At 47.5% G+C, this 15,456-nt stretch overlaps 1 annotated feature.

The window, feature by feature from the left end:
- Window positions 5,710-6,209: an enhancer, noted in NCBI's record as "H3K4me1 hESC enhancer chr22:45872155-45872654 (GRCh37/hg19 assembly coordinates)". NCBI's record gives its function as "activates a minimal SCP1, AML or CMV promoter by ChIP-STARR-seq in naive H9 embryonic stem cells {active_cell/tissue: H9 hESC(naive)}" and the evidence as "EXISTENCE:reporter gene assay evidence [ECO:0000049][PMID:30033119]".

Below are 15,456 nucleotides of genomic sequence, written 5' to 3' on the forward strand. Positions count from 1 at the left end.
CACGCCCGGCCCACACTCCTCCTTTAGGATAGTAGGGCCTGCACCCGGGTGGGGTGAGGGCTGGTGCAGACAGGACCCACTGGTGGCTTCTATCTGGAATAAGCTTCTTTTTTTTTTCTTTTTTTAAATTTTTTAATTTTTTTTATTATTATTATACTTCAAGTTTTAGGGTACATGTGCACAATGTGCAGGTTAGTTACATATGTATACATGTGCCATGCTGGTGTGCTGCACCCATTAACTCGTCATTTAGCATTAGGTATATCTCCTAATGCTATCCCTCCCCCCTCCCCCCTCCCCGCTGGAATAAGCTTCTTCATCCCTAAGTCATTCTCACTTGTTCTTCAAAACTCTGGTGAGAAGCTCCCACTCTGCGGAGACTACTTTGAGGCCCAGTCTGGGTTACCTGTCTCCTCTCCTGCGCTCTCCGGGTCCTCCCCGTGTCTGCCTGTCACAAGCTAAGCCCAAGGTATTGCCATCCTGTTTCCCTCCTGGCCTGTCAGCTCCTTTGGGAGGGGACCACGTGTGGCGCATCTTTGTGTCTCTGTGACCAGCAAAGGATGCTCCTACGTTCCCCACTAGCCCCCCCTCTGCCCACCCCAATTCATCAACGTTCTTTTGAAGGTGCTTTGTCCTCGCCCGCCCACCGCCACCCCCAGCTGCTTTTTCCTTGTGCTTGCTTTCCAGCACTTTGACTGTGCTGTCCCTAGAATGTGGTTTTCTGTATGTTTATCCTGCTGGGGCTAAGTAGAGCTGCTTTATTCTGTGGATTGTCATCTTTTATTATTTTCTGGAAATTCTTGGCCATAATCTGTTCCTTTCTCTGCTCCCGTTCCTCTCTCTCTCTCCTTTTATTCTGGGACTATGCTTACTTGAAGGGGTGATACGGTTTGGCTCTGTGTCCCCACCCAAATCTCATGTGGAATTGTAATCCCCACGTGTTGAAGGAGGAGCCTGGTGGGAGGTGATTGGATTATAGGGGTGGATTTCCCCCTTGCTGTTCTCGTGATAGGGAGTGAGTTCTCACAAGATCTGATGGTTTAAAAGTGTGGCACTTGGCCAGGCACGGTGGCTCACACCTGTAATCCCAGCACTTTGGGAGGCAGCGGGTGGATCACCTGAGGTCAGGAGTTCGAGACCACACCCTGGCCAACATGGTGAAACCCAGTCTCTACTAAAAATACAAAAAGTAGCCAGGCGAGGTGGCATGTGCCTATAATCCCAGCTACTTGGGAGGCTGAGGCAGGAGAATTGCTTGAACCTGAGAGGCGGAGGCTGCAGTGAACTGAGATTGTGCCACTGCGCTCCAGCCTGGGTGGCAAAGGGACACTCTGTCTCAAAAAAAAAATGTGTGGCACTCTGCCCATCTCCACAGCTCCTACTCTGCCATGGTAAGACGTGCCAGCTTCCCCTTCTCCTTCCACCATGAGTGTAAGTTTCTTCAGGCCTCCCGGTCATGCTTCCTGTTAAGTCTGCAGAACTGTGAGTCAACTCAACCTCTTTTCTTCATAAAATACCCAGTCTCAGGCAGTACTATTTTATTTTAATTTATTTATTTATTAATTTTTGAGACAGGGTCTCACTCTGTTGTCCAGGCTGGAGTGCAGTGGCGCAATCTCAGCTCACTGCAACCTCCACCTCCTGGGTTCCAGTGATTCTCAGGCCTCAGCCTCCCAAGTAGCTGGAATTACATCATGGAATTAGCCACCATGCCCGGCTAATCTTTGTATTTTTTTGTAGAGACGGGGTTTCACCATGTTGGCCAGGTTGGTCTCAAACTCCTGACTTCAATTGATCCACCCGCCTCAGCCTCCCAAAGTGCTGGGATTACAGGCATAAGCCACCATGCCTGGTCCCCTTAAGTTCTTAATTGTTTAGTTCTAGAATTTTAATTTCATTCTTTTTCTTCAAAGATGCCAATTTCTCATTGAAAAATATAACTTTTATTATTTTATCTGTATTTCTTCTATTTGACACATTAATCATTATTACTTTTATTGACTTTTTGTTTATTTATTTGTAGAGACAATGTCTCACTCTGTCCCCCACGCTTGAGTGCAGTGACAGGATCATGACTCACTGCAGCCTCAAACTCCTGGGCTCAAGGGATTCTCCCACCTCAGCCTCCCTAGTAGCTGGGACCATAGGCACAAACCACCATGTCCAGCTAATTAAAAAAATTTTTTGTGGAGATGGGGTCTTGCCCAGAGTAGTCTCAAACTCCTGCGCTCAAGTGATCCTCCCACCTTGGCCTCCGTAAGTGCTGGGATTAGAGGCGTGAGCCATCGTGTTCAGCCTCATTATTATTTTAAAGTCCTTGTCTACTAACTTTAATATCTGCATCTGACTCTTTTCATGTCTAGTGATTTTAATGAGGTGCTGAACATTGTATATAAGAAGGAAGAAGGCTCTAGGTGATGTCATTCGCTCCAGAGATGGGTCCTCTTCACCTCCTAAAAATATTCATGCTTAAGTGAAAAAAGCTGTATACAAACTAGCCCTATTGGATAACCAGTATGAAGGGGCTTTTCACCTCATTCTAATCAGAAACTGAGCAGTAAAGGGGCGGGGCCATAGTTCTCATCATACTCAACCTATGTCCAGGGTGTCCTTGTTTCCAGACCATGCCTTCATAGTCTCTCTCTCTTTTTTTTTTTTTTTTGAGATAGAATCTCACCTTGTTACCCAGGCTGAAGTGCAATGGCACCATCTTGGCTCACTGCAGCCTCCGCCTCCCAGGTTCAAGCTATTCTCGTGCCTCAGCCTCCTGAGCAACTGGGATTACAGTTGCACACCACCACGCCCAGCTAATTTTTATATTTTTGGTAGAAACGGGGTTTCACCATGTTGGCCAGGCTGGCCTCGAACTCCTCACCTCAGGTGATCGGCTTGTCTCGGCCTCCCAAAGTGCTGGGATTACAGGCTTGAGCCACCATGCCCGGCCCATAGTCTCTTTATTGAGAACCCCCTGGGCCTTTGTCTCCTCAGCCCTAAAAGATGACAAGACAGCAGCTCTGTCCATCAGAGGTTCCAGCCTAGCTCTCCCCGTTCTTCCCAAGTAGCCTTAAAATCTGGCAAGTGTCTGGGGAGGAGACATTGGCAGTGTGTTTGAGACAGGTCTCCTCCCAGGGCTGATCTTTTGTTCCCTAAGCACAATTCTGCCCTTTAGAAAAAGTTTCCTCCCCACTCCCCAGCTTCCGGCACCAGAACCCAGCAAATGTACCTCCAGGGAGAACAGGCCAGATTCCCACAAGTGTCCTTAGCACACTCTCCCATGTGACCACTGAAATATCTGCTGCTTCCCCCACCCTGCAAAGGCTTTCTGCCTTGAGAAGCCCAATCCTCAGCCCTCAGGAAAAATAAAAAACAAAACAAAACAAAAAAAAAACAGCTGGAGACCCACCGCTCACCTCAGGGCCTCCCAGCACTAGAGTCTTATCTAACCTAAGCCGCATTGCCTCCACAGCTCTTTGATGTCTTTCAAAGTATGTTTTTTGCTATTTATTCAGCTTTTTCTAATTGTGGCAGTGGGAACTTTGGCCTGTGATGATCTACTAAGTGTTCCGATTTAAAAAGTAGAAAAAGAATGTCTCTTAATAGCTTATCCACATACTTGCTTTTTTAAAAAAAAATCACGCTTAAGTGAAAGCACTAAAAGCACAATTGCACGGACACTAGGATTGCAGCTGCAGAAAGCCTCCATGCAAGCAAACCAGAGCTAGAGGGAAACGTGGACAAACGAAGCCTGCTGGGCCGGGCGAGGTGGCTCACACCTGTTATCCCAGCTATCTGGGAGGCTGAGGCAGGAGAATCACTTGAACCCTGGAGGCAGAGGTTGCAGTGAGCGGATGCTGCACTGCAGCCTGGGAGACAGCGAGACTCCATCTCCAAAAAAAAAGAAAAAGAAAAAAAATGAAGCTTGGTGGGCTGGGTGGTTGGATTCTGGGCCCCTGTTTTTCTGTGCTTTTGATTTCCTTTAATATAACTTAAATGACTCAAATGAGGTTTATGGAATTTTCCAGCGTATCATATTGAAAATCCAGGCTTGGCTCTGTGGTTCCACATAAGGTCTGCTTGAAGCTTTTGTCCCAGGTTCTTGAATGGACGAATGCCCACCCACTCTACCTGTTGTGAATCACCCCAGGTGATTCCCTGCTCTTTTTCTTTTCTTTTCTTTCTTTCTTTTTTTTTTTTTTTTGAGATGGAGTCTCACTCTATCGCCCAGGCTGGAGTGTAGTGGTGCGATCTCAACTCACTGCAACCTCCGCCTCCCGGGTTCAAGCGATTCTTGTGCCTCAGCCTCCTGAGTAGCTGGGATTACAGGCGTCTGCCACCATGCCCAGCTAATTTTTGTATTTTTAGTAGAGACGGGGTTTTGCCATGCTGACCAGGCTGGTCTCGAACTCCTGAACTCAAGTGATCTACTCGCTTTGGCCTCCCAAAGTGCTGGTACTACAGGCATGAGCCACCACACCGGGCCAATTCCCTGCTCTTTTGAAGAAGCCCCCACCTCATCTTGCCCCTGTCATTAAGAGTCTTACAAAGGTTAAGGTCTGGGAGAATCAACCATATCAATCCATTTAAGTCTCTTGTTGTCTGGTGCTTTTGTGGATTGAGCTCTAAACTTGGAGCTGGGGAGAGAAGAGAACCAGGCTGAGCCTCTCACAGGCTGCGTGAGAGAAAGCCACTGCCCTTTCCAGCCTCAGTCTCTCCATCTCTAAAGTGGGTACAATACACCTGCCTCTCAAGGTTGTTGGAGGACTCAGGGCCATGCTGTGTGTGGTGCCAGCCCCAACCCATGGTGAGAGAGATTGGCAAACCGTCAATGCCAGCATGAGCTTGCAGTGGGGAAGGACCCGTGGGGACCCAGAGGAGGGCAGAGAGGAGAGGAAACACACATCCCACGTGGCCCCACAGACCACCCACCCTGCACCCCACATCTGCACACTGGTGCATATTGCACCATCAAACCCTGAAACCCCAGGGGGAGTTAAAGGCATCTGGTGGTCTGAAACATGAGAGCGCATACAACATGGTCATAAATGAAGTCAGCCTTATAAACTGTGAAATCCAAGACGCGGGCTGACTTTTTCCTGTTTCCCAATAAACACTGCAGATTTTACATTCAGAAGGAAACTAAGACCAGAGATAAAGTTAGAGCCCCGTTCTGTGGTGAGATCACCACCTGGTATCAGGTGTACCTCTCAGACCAAGAAGCTTCTGTCTGTGATCAGGGAGGGGGACTGCAATGCTGAGATAGTTTTTGTCTGTTTGGTTCGATTCCGCTCCCAGGACAGTGCTCGGCGCATGGTCACACTCAACAAAATCCTTGGTGAGCGAGTGCATGAATGAATAAAGAAGCCATTCACTGAGCATGCAGAGAGAGGAGGCTGAAGATGCAACTGAAGAAAACAGACAGAGTAGAGTGTCCCTAGGGCCACACGTGGCAGTTTGGGAGGCTGGACTGAGTCCTGCAGACACTGGGGAGTCAGGGCATGTGGCAGGATCCTTCTGCTGTTGCCCAACAGTCCCGGTGCTGCAGGAGGGAGGGGCGGGCGTGGGGATGGCTGGGCCTTGGGCATCGCCAGAGACATCATAGCCTTCCGGGACAGCCCAGGGGCTTGGCAGAGTGTCTTGTTGTAAAGCTTGTGGGGTCTGCAGGGCCTACTCTGGCTATACCCACCCACAAGGCCATGCAGCCAGAGGGTGCGGGAGACAAACAGGAGCCGAGCCAAGTGGCCAGAAGGAAGGCCAGGAGCAAGCCCCAGCAGAAGCCAAGCCCAGCAGACAAGGTTTGTGACATCGAGAGGAAGCCACTGTGGTGCCCTGGACACAGCGTGGCAGGGGGACAGGGGGGACAGACTCCCTGGTGGTGCTGAGGAGACACGGAACACCCCACACTTCCCTCTGTAGAAAGCAGATTCCCAGGCCTCGGGGTTAAATGGGAACCAACAGGCAGCATGGGGCCAGGCCTTGGTTAGAGCTCCATAAAGACATGCTGGCATGGAATGGGTGGGACTGGCTCACGCCTGTAATCCCAGTGCTTTGGGAGGCTGAGGCAGGAGGATCACTTGAGCCCAGGAGTTTGAGACCAGCCTGGGCTACATAGTGAGACTCCTGTCTCTACAAAAACTAGGAAAATTAGCCAAGCATGATGGTGTGTGCCTGTAGTCCCAGCTACTTGGGAGGCTGAGGTGGGAGGATTGCTGGAGACTGGGAGGTCAAGGCTGCAGTGAGCCTTGATTGCACCAAGATTGCACTCCAGCCTGGGCGACAGAGTGAGATTCTGTCTAAAAGAAGAAGACATACCAGCATGTGGCTGAAACAGTGATGGAGACACCCACTCCGCCTACAGAGGCTAAGGCCTGTCTCCAAACCTTTGCTCTTCTCTCCGCCTCAGATGCCTCTCCCCTCCCATCTCTGCCCACAGAACTCCTCATACTCTTCCCAGCTCAAGTTTCACAATCTCCACGAAGTTTGCCAAGGTCACCTCTTCCTGCCGCATCCTCCTCCTCCTCTATCATAGCCAACGCTTATCTGACATTGCCAAGTGCAGGGCTAGAAGCTTCATATGTGTTATCTAATTTAATGCTCCCAATACCAGTATGAGAATGGTGTCATCATCCTTTTGTACACAGAATCCACTGCAGCTCAGAACAGGTAAGTGGCTTCCCCAAGGTCATCCAGCCGGTGAGATATAGAGGCCATGTTCAAATACAGGTCTCTGAGGGCAAAGCCCGTTCTTAAGCATTAGGAGCCCTTGCTACCCATGAGACAGTGGACATGGCCCCCAACATTGTCCCTTGGTGCTCTCTCTTGATCTTTTTCTTTTAAGGTTTGTTTTATATACTTGTCTCCACCCGGGAGACCAGGAGCTGAGTCTCTTGAGAGCCAGGACCTTGACCCAGTTGCCGCATGCTCTCCTCTCTTGTTCCCAGCCCTCACCCATGCTGCCCTTCCCTCCCTTCCCTGCCCACCTGGCAAATCTGCTGGGCTCCAGGCAAACACAAGCTCCTCCAAGGGCCCTCCCTGCTCCTTGCAGGCCACCTCTTCTCAGGGATCTCACAGTTTTCCACGGCACTGAAATGGCTGGTGAAAGAATCCGTCTCCCTGAGACCATGAGCTCCTCAAGGAAGCTGGGACTGACACCTCCATGTCTCCAGGGCCCAGCCCAGGACCTGGCACAGCTCTGTGTTCAGTGTTGGCTGAATGAATGAATCCAGTCCACCATGAATTGATCCTGAAGTGGACCTAGAGTTGGAGGGACTAGACTATTGATTTTGCAACTTATTAACTATGGGATCTCAGACAAGTCCCTTCACCCATTTGGGCCTCAGTTTTCTCATCTGTAGAATGGGGATGATTTGAGGAAAACAGAGGTTGAAGCACTTCATAAACCGAGTTGCTGCATAGTTGTGAGGTGAGATGATGGAGGTTCCCAAGCCCAGGCTCCAGGGAAAGACTTTGGCACTTGCCCCTTGCTAAACAAAGCATGCAATTTTAAAGGCTCACAGCTATCGCAGATTTTCCTAAAACATGCGTCAATACAAAAGTTGTTGAGTTCCTTTAGAGAAACACTGTAACGGAGACTCCCTGCACTGACAATTTAGCTGAGCAAGTTTGCTCTGGCTGTGCACGCCCCAGGGATTCCTCCATACCTGCAGCTGGAACCCATGAAGAAACTTTGGGCCTTTAATTAGAACCATTTGCCCTTCCAATGAACGGCAGGTGGCTGGGCCAACTTACAAAGAGATGCTCATTAGAGCAGTATGTGCCCTTTGATCCATCCGTCTGACTGCTGGGACTCTGTCCTAAAGAAATAATCCCAAATATGGAAAGGCTTATGAACAAATACACCATCTTTGGAGTATTTCTTGTAACGGCAGAGAAACTGGAATCAACCGGAATATCCAATGGGGAATAAGTTGCTGATGTTTCCTCAACTGGATGGGACTTTATTACTCACTGAGAAGAAATGGCTGGGAAGGCTTTGGAGCAACATAAAGTATGTTTATGATAGAATGTTAAGTAAACAAATCAGGTTACAAAACTATGTACCCTGAGATGAACTATGCAAACTATGCATATAAATATCAGAAATAGGCTGGGCGCGGTGGCTCTTGCCTGTCATCCCAGCACTTTGCGAGGCCAAAGCGGGTGGATCACGAGGTCAGGAGTTTGAGACCAGCCTGACTAACATGGTGAAGCCCCGTCTCTACTAAAAATACAAAAATTAGCCAGGTGTGGTGACAGACGCCTGTAGTCCCAGCTACTCGGGAGGCTGAGGCAGGAGAATCACTTGATCCCGGGAGGCAGAAGTTGCAGTGAGCTGAGATCGTGCCACTGCACTCCAGCCTGGGCGACAGAGTGAGACTCCGTCTAAAAAAAAATTCATGGTGGACTGGATTCATTCATTCAGCCAACACTGACCACAGACCTGTCCCAGCTACTCGGGAGGCTGAGGCAGGAGAATCGTTTGAACCTGGGAGGCGGAGGTTGTGGTGAGCTGAGATGGCGCCATTGTACTCCAGCCTGGGTGACAAGAGCGAAACTCCGTCTCAAAAAAAAAAAAGTTTATTATAAATTTTTTTTTTTTTTTTTTTTTTTTTTTGAGACAGAGTCTCGCTCTGTCGCCCAGGCCGGACTGCGGACTGCAGTGGCGCAATCTCGGCTCACTGCAAGCTCCGCCTCCCGGGTTCACGCCATTCTCCTGCCTCAGCCTCCCGAGTAGCTGGGACTACAGGCGCCCGCCACCGCGCCCGGCTAATTTTTTTTTTTTGTATTTTTAGTAGAGACGGGGTTTCACCTTGTTAGCCGGGATGGTCTCGATCTCCTGACCTCATGATCCACCCGCCTCGGCCTCCCAAAGTGCTGGGATTACAGGCGTGAGCCACCGCTCCCGGCCTATTATAAATTTTTAAATATCAAAAACATAGACTGTCTCTAAAGTAAAATCAAGACAAAACAAAAAATAAAAAATAATTAAAAATAAAAAAGAAACAAAGGGCTAGTTTTCCAAGGGTAGAGGTAAAACCTGACGTTGTAAAAATGTGTTCTGGAGAATCGTTCATATGGCCTGTTTTAGATTTTTTTTCTTTAATGAAAAAGTAACACATGTACAGGGTAAAAAATATTCTGTGTGAAAGATATACAAACACCACTATCCTAATGAAACTGCCTTTTCCTTCCAATATTTTATCTATATTTGTATATACTTTAACAAAGTCTAGTGTACATACAATTCAAAATTCTGGCTGGGCATGGTGGCTCATGCCTGTAATCCCAGCACTTTGGGAGGACAAGGTGGGAGGATCACTTGAGCCCAGGAGTTCGAGACCAGCCTAGGCAACATAATGAGACCCTGTCTCTAAAAAATAAAAAAGAAAAAAAAAAGCTGGGCATTGTGGCACGCGTCTGTAGTCCCAGCTACTTGGGAGGCTGAGGTAGGAGGACTGCTTGAGCCTGGGAGGTCGAGGCTGCAGTGAGCTGCGATGGCACCCCTGCACTCCAGCCTGGGCCACAGAACGAGACCTTGTCTCAAAAAAATTTTTTTAAGTTTAATTTTTACTTTATATAAAAAACAAATAACTTGGTTGCAACAATCTTTATATTTATAAATTTAAAGAGTTATAGGATACTCCATAGTAGAAATATATTTATTTCACTGATCTTTGATATTATATATTAGTTGTTATGATTATGTTTCCTTTATATATCTCATGGAAATACATATGGTTGTACTCAATGCATATATAGTTGTACATAATTAATACGTAAAATTCATATGTAATATGAAAAATAAGATTTTTTCTTTATATTAACAATAACAAATTAGAAAACACGATAGAAAAAAATACTCCAATCAGAATGACAATAAAAATATTAAGTGCTTAGAACTAAACAAGGCACCCACAACATGGATGAACCTTGAGGATATTATGCTAAGTGCAGTAAGCCAGACACGGAAAGAAAAATATTGCATGATCTCACTTATATATGGAACTCAAAGAAGTTGCATACATAGAAACAGAGAACAAAACCGTGCTTATCAGGGGCAGATACGGCGGGCAGGAAATGGGGAGATGTAGGTCGATGGATACAAAGTTGCAAGATCTAATGTACAATGTGAGGATTATAGTTAATAATATTGAACTAAATTCAGAGTTTTTCTAGAGCAGGGGGATATCATTTGGCTCTGTGTCCCCACCCAAATCTCATGGTGAATTGTAACCATGCATCAACTGTGTTGGAGGAGGGGCTTGGTGGGAGATGATTGAATCACAGGGCTGGACTTCCCCTTGCTGTTCTCGTGATAGTGAGTGAGTTCTCACGAGATCTGGTTGTTCAAAAGTGTGTAGAACTTCTGCCTTCACTCTCTCTCTCCTGCTCCCTTGTGAAGATGTGCTTGCTTCCCCTTTGCCCTTCCTCCACGATTGTAAGTTTCCTGAGGCCTCCCCAGCCATGCATCCTATACAGCCTGTGGAACTGTGAGCAGATAAAACCTGTTTTTTTTGTAAATTACCTAGTCTCAGGTAGTTGTTTATAGCAATACAGGCGTTGGGGACCCCTTGCATTAGTCTGTTCTCACATTGTACTGGTCCATGGTGTGTTAGGAACCAGGTCATATACGGCAGGAACCTGAGCGGGAGGTGAGCTAACATTACCACCTGACCTCTACCTCCTGTCAGATCAGTGGCAGCATTAGAGTCTCACAGGGGTGTGAACCATTTTGTGAACTGTGCATGCGAGGGGTCTAGGTTGCATGCTCCTTATGAGAATCTAATGATAAGTGTAATGCACTTGAATAATCCTGAAACCATCTCCCCACCACCACTGCCCCTTGTCTGTGGAAAAATTGTCTTCCATGAAACCAGTCTCTGGTGCCAAAAAGGTTGGGGACCACTGTTCTAGGGAGTAGATTTTGGGAGCTCTTACCACACACACACAAAGGAAAACTGTGTGAGATGATGGCTATGTTGATTTGCTTGACTATAGCAGCCATTTCACTATGTATAGGTATATCAAAACATCATGTCATACACCTTAAATATATACTATAAAAAATTAAAAAGGTGCAAGATCTAAATATATACAACAAAAAATAAAGAAAAAAGGTGCAAGATCTACACTTTAAAAAACTGCAAGATTTTAATCAACACATATAAAAGAAGATGTGAATAACTAGAGTGACAACTTTGTCACTGATAGAAAGAATCAATATTGAAAAGATGTGGCTGGGTGTGATGGTTCATTCCTGTAATACGAGCACTTTGGGAGGCCCAGGTGGGCGGATCACTTGAGGTCAGGAATTTGAGACCAGCCTGGCCAACATGGTGAAACTGTGCCTCTACTAAAAAAAAAATAGTAATACAAAAATTATCGAGGCATGGTGTCAGGCGCCTGTAATCCCAGCTACCGAGGAGGCTGAGGCAGGAAAGCTGTTTGAACCCAGGAGGCAGAGGTTGCAGTAAGCCAAGATCACACCACTGCACTCCAGCCTGGATGACAGAGTGAGACTGTCTCAAAAAAAAAAAAAAAAAAAAGAAAGGAAAGAAAAGATGCTATTTCAGTCAAATATCTTTGCAATGAACAGGAAGCACTACCTTAAACATCAAGGGAGATTGATGGAAGGATTTTATAGAGCAGGAGTCTCAAACTTGCCCACATCCCAAGATTACCTGGGGCTGCCTGACAGCCACCCCTGGAGATTCTGACTTAATTGGTCAGGCTGTGGCCTAAGTATCAGGATTTCTACAGCTCCCTAAAGCCCCGTAGAACAATGTGCACTATGGTCAGGAATCTCACAGAGTCCAATAATCAGATTAGCTGGGTCCAGGGGTGGGGATAGGGGTCACAGAGGGTCATGTAAGAGAAACACTCTTCCAGGGACCAACCGTGTGGTCAGTGAGAAGGGTGCAGTTCTCAAACAAAAGGAAGTCATGGGCTGGGCACAAGTCCCCAAAGGTGCCCACCACTTTCCATCCCTTGGCTACCCAGTCCACACAAACACTCTTTTCCCTGTATGCACAAACTTGCCTTGGTTTAATTCAACCCAACCATCTCACACACACCTTCCAAGTTCTTAACTTTCCCCTTACCAGAGGCAACCAAAGTCATGTCCAGCTGTTCCATCCAGAGGTAATGAAATTGGGACCACTTTTCTCAGTGTCCACCATCTTTGGGGGTATCCACCCCTCCTCCAATTCTGTAACAATCCTAGCATCAATGATGACTCTTTTTTTTTTTTTTTTGAGATGGAATTTCACTCGTGTTGCCCAGGCTGGAGTGCAATGGCACAATCTCAGCTCACGGCAACCTCCACCTCCAGGATTTAAGTGATTCTCCTGCCTCAGCCTCCAGAGTAGCTGGGATTACAGGCATGCGCCACCACGCCTGGCTAATTTTGTATTTTTAGTAGAGACAAGGGTTTCTCCATGTTGATCAGGCTGGTCTCAAACTCTTGGCCTCAGGTGATCCACCTGCCTCAGCCTCCCAAAGTGCTGGGATTATAGGTGTGAGCCACTGTGCCCGGCCAATCGTGACTCTTAGTTGCAAACAATGGAAACCCGCTCTGACTGCTGCAAATAGGAAGAATTTATTGACATGATATTTGGTAGCTCATAAATTCATCAGGAATACTGCAGATTGAGCCTAGAAGCTGGGCTTACACAGGGACATCTGGAATACAGACAGGGCCATAAAGCCAGTCAGATGATGGCATGACCACCATACCACCATGCCACTGTCACTCCATGCTGGATGCCACAGGTCACTTTGCCATCAGTGCTGGTCCTGAAACCCACCTTCCCACTGCTGCTGCTACATCTGGTGACCAACAAAATGGTCTGGCTACCAGCCCAGTAAGGAGCCCTCATAAGATAAGTAAGCAACAAGGAGGAAAGGGCCCCAGGTCAGGGAGGGCTCCAGGTGGGGAAGCACAATGAACAATTGTTGTGAGAAATGGCTAATCACAAACAACCTGAGGGCACAATGACTTCAGTGAACACAATGACCTCTGTCTGCATGTAGCCCCCTCCAGCAGGACTCTACAAAACTTCCCTTCAGCCCCTGCCTCTTTGCAGACAGCCCCTTCTCTGCTGTACTGCCCGTTGCAACCTTGCAACGTATTTTCATATCTTCTCTCATAAATCTGCCTTTCTTTACTTACTACTGTCTTCATAAATTCCCTTACTGCCTGCGACATCAGTCCTAGCTGGTGGATACTTGCAACATTTTGGTGGCCAGTATGGGGACTCTCTCTTCTTGCAGGGAACCCTCTCCCCTCTCTCTATTTCTTTTATTTCCCAACTCAGGACCCTCAATGGAGTGTGTCTAAACACGGACACAACTGAAAGTCTGTAGCCAAGGCTGCACTCTGGTGAGACTGAAAGGTGTCCATGTGGAAGCCTCTGACCGCTGCTGCTTGATTGGATGAGAGTTCAGAGTTTACTTTCCTTTTCAGTCTCCCAGTGGACAAACTCTAGTGTCCCTCTGGCGATTGACTGCAACTGGCCAGGGCCACTCCCTGGTATGGCCTAAAGGCCAGCAGGTCAACAGATTTGACTGCCTTGTACAGAAGGAAGGAAGGGCCTCTCCTGTCCTTTCTGGTCAAAGGTCCCTGATCCCTCTGTGTGTTGCAATTGACACACGTTTTGTCCCCCTCTTTCTCTTTCTAAATTATTCCATGAAGACAGCCACACCTCTTGCTCTGGACGTCTCCAAATCAGGTGATCTCACGTGGCCTCAGAGTTTCCACATTCCTGCCCCCTCTCCTGGGCTGGCCCCAAGCTGAGTTCATCCTTTACCCTTTTTTCCTCATACCTGGGCTGAACACCCAGTGTGACAAGGCCCCAGAGCTGAGCACTGATGGCAAAGTGACCTGTGGCAAAGTGTCCTTTCTGATAGGTGGGACACCCCTTTAGAAGGTGTACCCAAGTCCCTCAGTGGGCATGAGTGGAACCCTCTTCCTCAGTGGTATACCCCAAAAGAAGGTGCAATTCATGTCCCAGCAGATGTGACTTGCTGGCAGCTCCTTTTCCAGCCCCACCATGGGACAAAACCCATCTATTCCTTCAGATTCACCTCTGGGTTGCATCCTAGAACACAGACAAATTTAACCCTCAGACTCTCAAAAAGAAACACCTAATTTTCTTGTGTAATACAGCATGGCCCCTATGCAGGAAATCCTCAAATTAGCCTCCTCAGTCTTTTATAACTGAGAGCATAATCTGGAGGACAGGGCTAAGGAGAAAGAAAAATGCAGGGACAAGAGGCAGGCTCAACTGTTGGCTGCTTTACAAGCCCCAACCCGGCTCCAGGTTGCCCCAAGGACACTCCTCCAGGTAACTGGCATCAGTGCAGAAGGCCAGGCCACTGGAAGGCAAACTGCCCCAATGGGACACATGGGAAAAAAACCCACATAGCTCGCCCCCTCTGCTACAAGCCTGGCCATTGGAAATGGGACTGCCCTGAGGGCCGAAGGGTCCCCAGGACAGAATCCCAACTATTGATGGCCTCAAGCTGATGGGGGCTCTCTGCCCCGGCTGGCTTCCAAATCAAACATCATCATCAACAAAATGAAGCCAAGGGAAACTCTGGAGGCGGCAAGTAAAATTATAAATTTCCCTTTTGCTTTCAAGAGCTGCTTATCATAAAGATGCCTCCTCTACCCCTTTCTGCAAATGTATACCTCTTAACATATACATGGTAAAAACCTGGAAAATTACTGTCTAGACTTAGGCTTTTAGATTGAGTCACTCTTGGAACTGCATACATCATTGAATGAAAAAGGTTAAGTTAAAAGAAGGATGCATAATAATAACATGGCTAGTCTTAGAAAATTCTCTTGAGCAGTTAAAATCTTTCGCAAGCTTGAAAATGCCCTAAAGTCCTTCTGGAAAAAACAACAGCCGTCACCTTGTGCTGGAGGTCAGTTGCTAAGGCTTTGCCCTTTTCACAGCGGTGGCCTGGAAATTCCTGGCTTTGGAAGTGAGTCCTTTGAGGTTTAATACTTGTGGTATTTTTGCCATTTATTGATTCTTTTCCCCCTCCATGGACAGCTTCTGTCTTGTCGTGGCCCAGAAAAATAGAAACTTTAATGCCTTTTAGGTCACATGGCTCTTATCTTTAAAAAATAAAGACAGTCTGGGCCGGCGCAGTGGCTCACACTTGTAATCCCAGCACTTTGGGAAGCTGAGGTGGGTGGATCACCTGAGGTCAACAGTTCGAGACCAGCCTGGCCAACATGGTGAAATCCTGTCTCTACTAAAAATTTAAAAATTAGCCGGGCACTGTGGTGGGCTCCTGTAGTCCCAGCTGCTCAGGAGGCTGAGGCAGGAGAATTGCTTGAACCCAGGAGGCGGAGGTTGCAGTGAGCTGAGATTGCGCCACTGCACTCCAACCTGAGCGACAGAGTGAGACTCCATCTCAAAATAAATAAATAGATAAATAAATAAA

This window comes from Homo sapiens, chromosome 22, assembly GCF_000001405.40.
Source record: "Homo sapiens chromosome 22, GRCh38.p14 Primary Assembly".
Taxonomy (NCBI): Eukaryota; Metazoa; Chordata; class Mammalia; order Primates; family Hominidae; genus Homo; species Homo sapiens.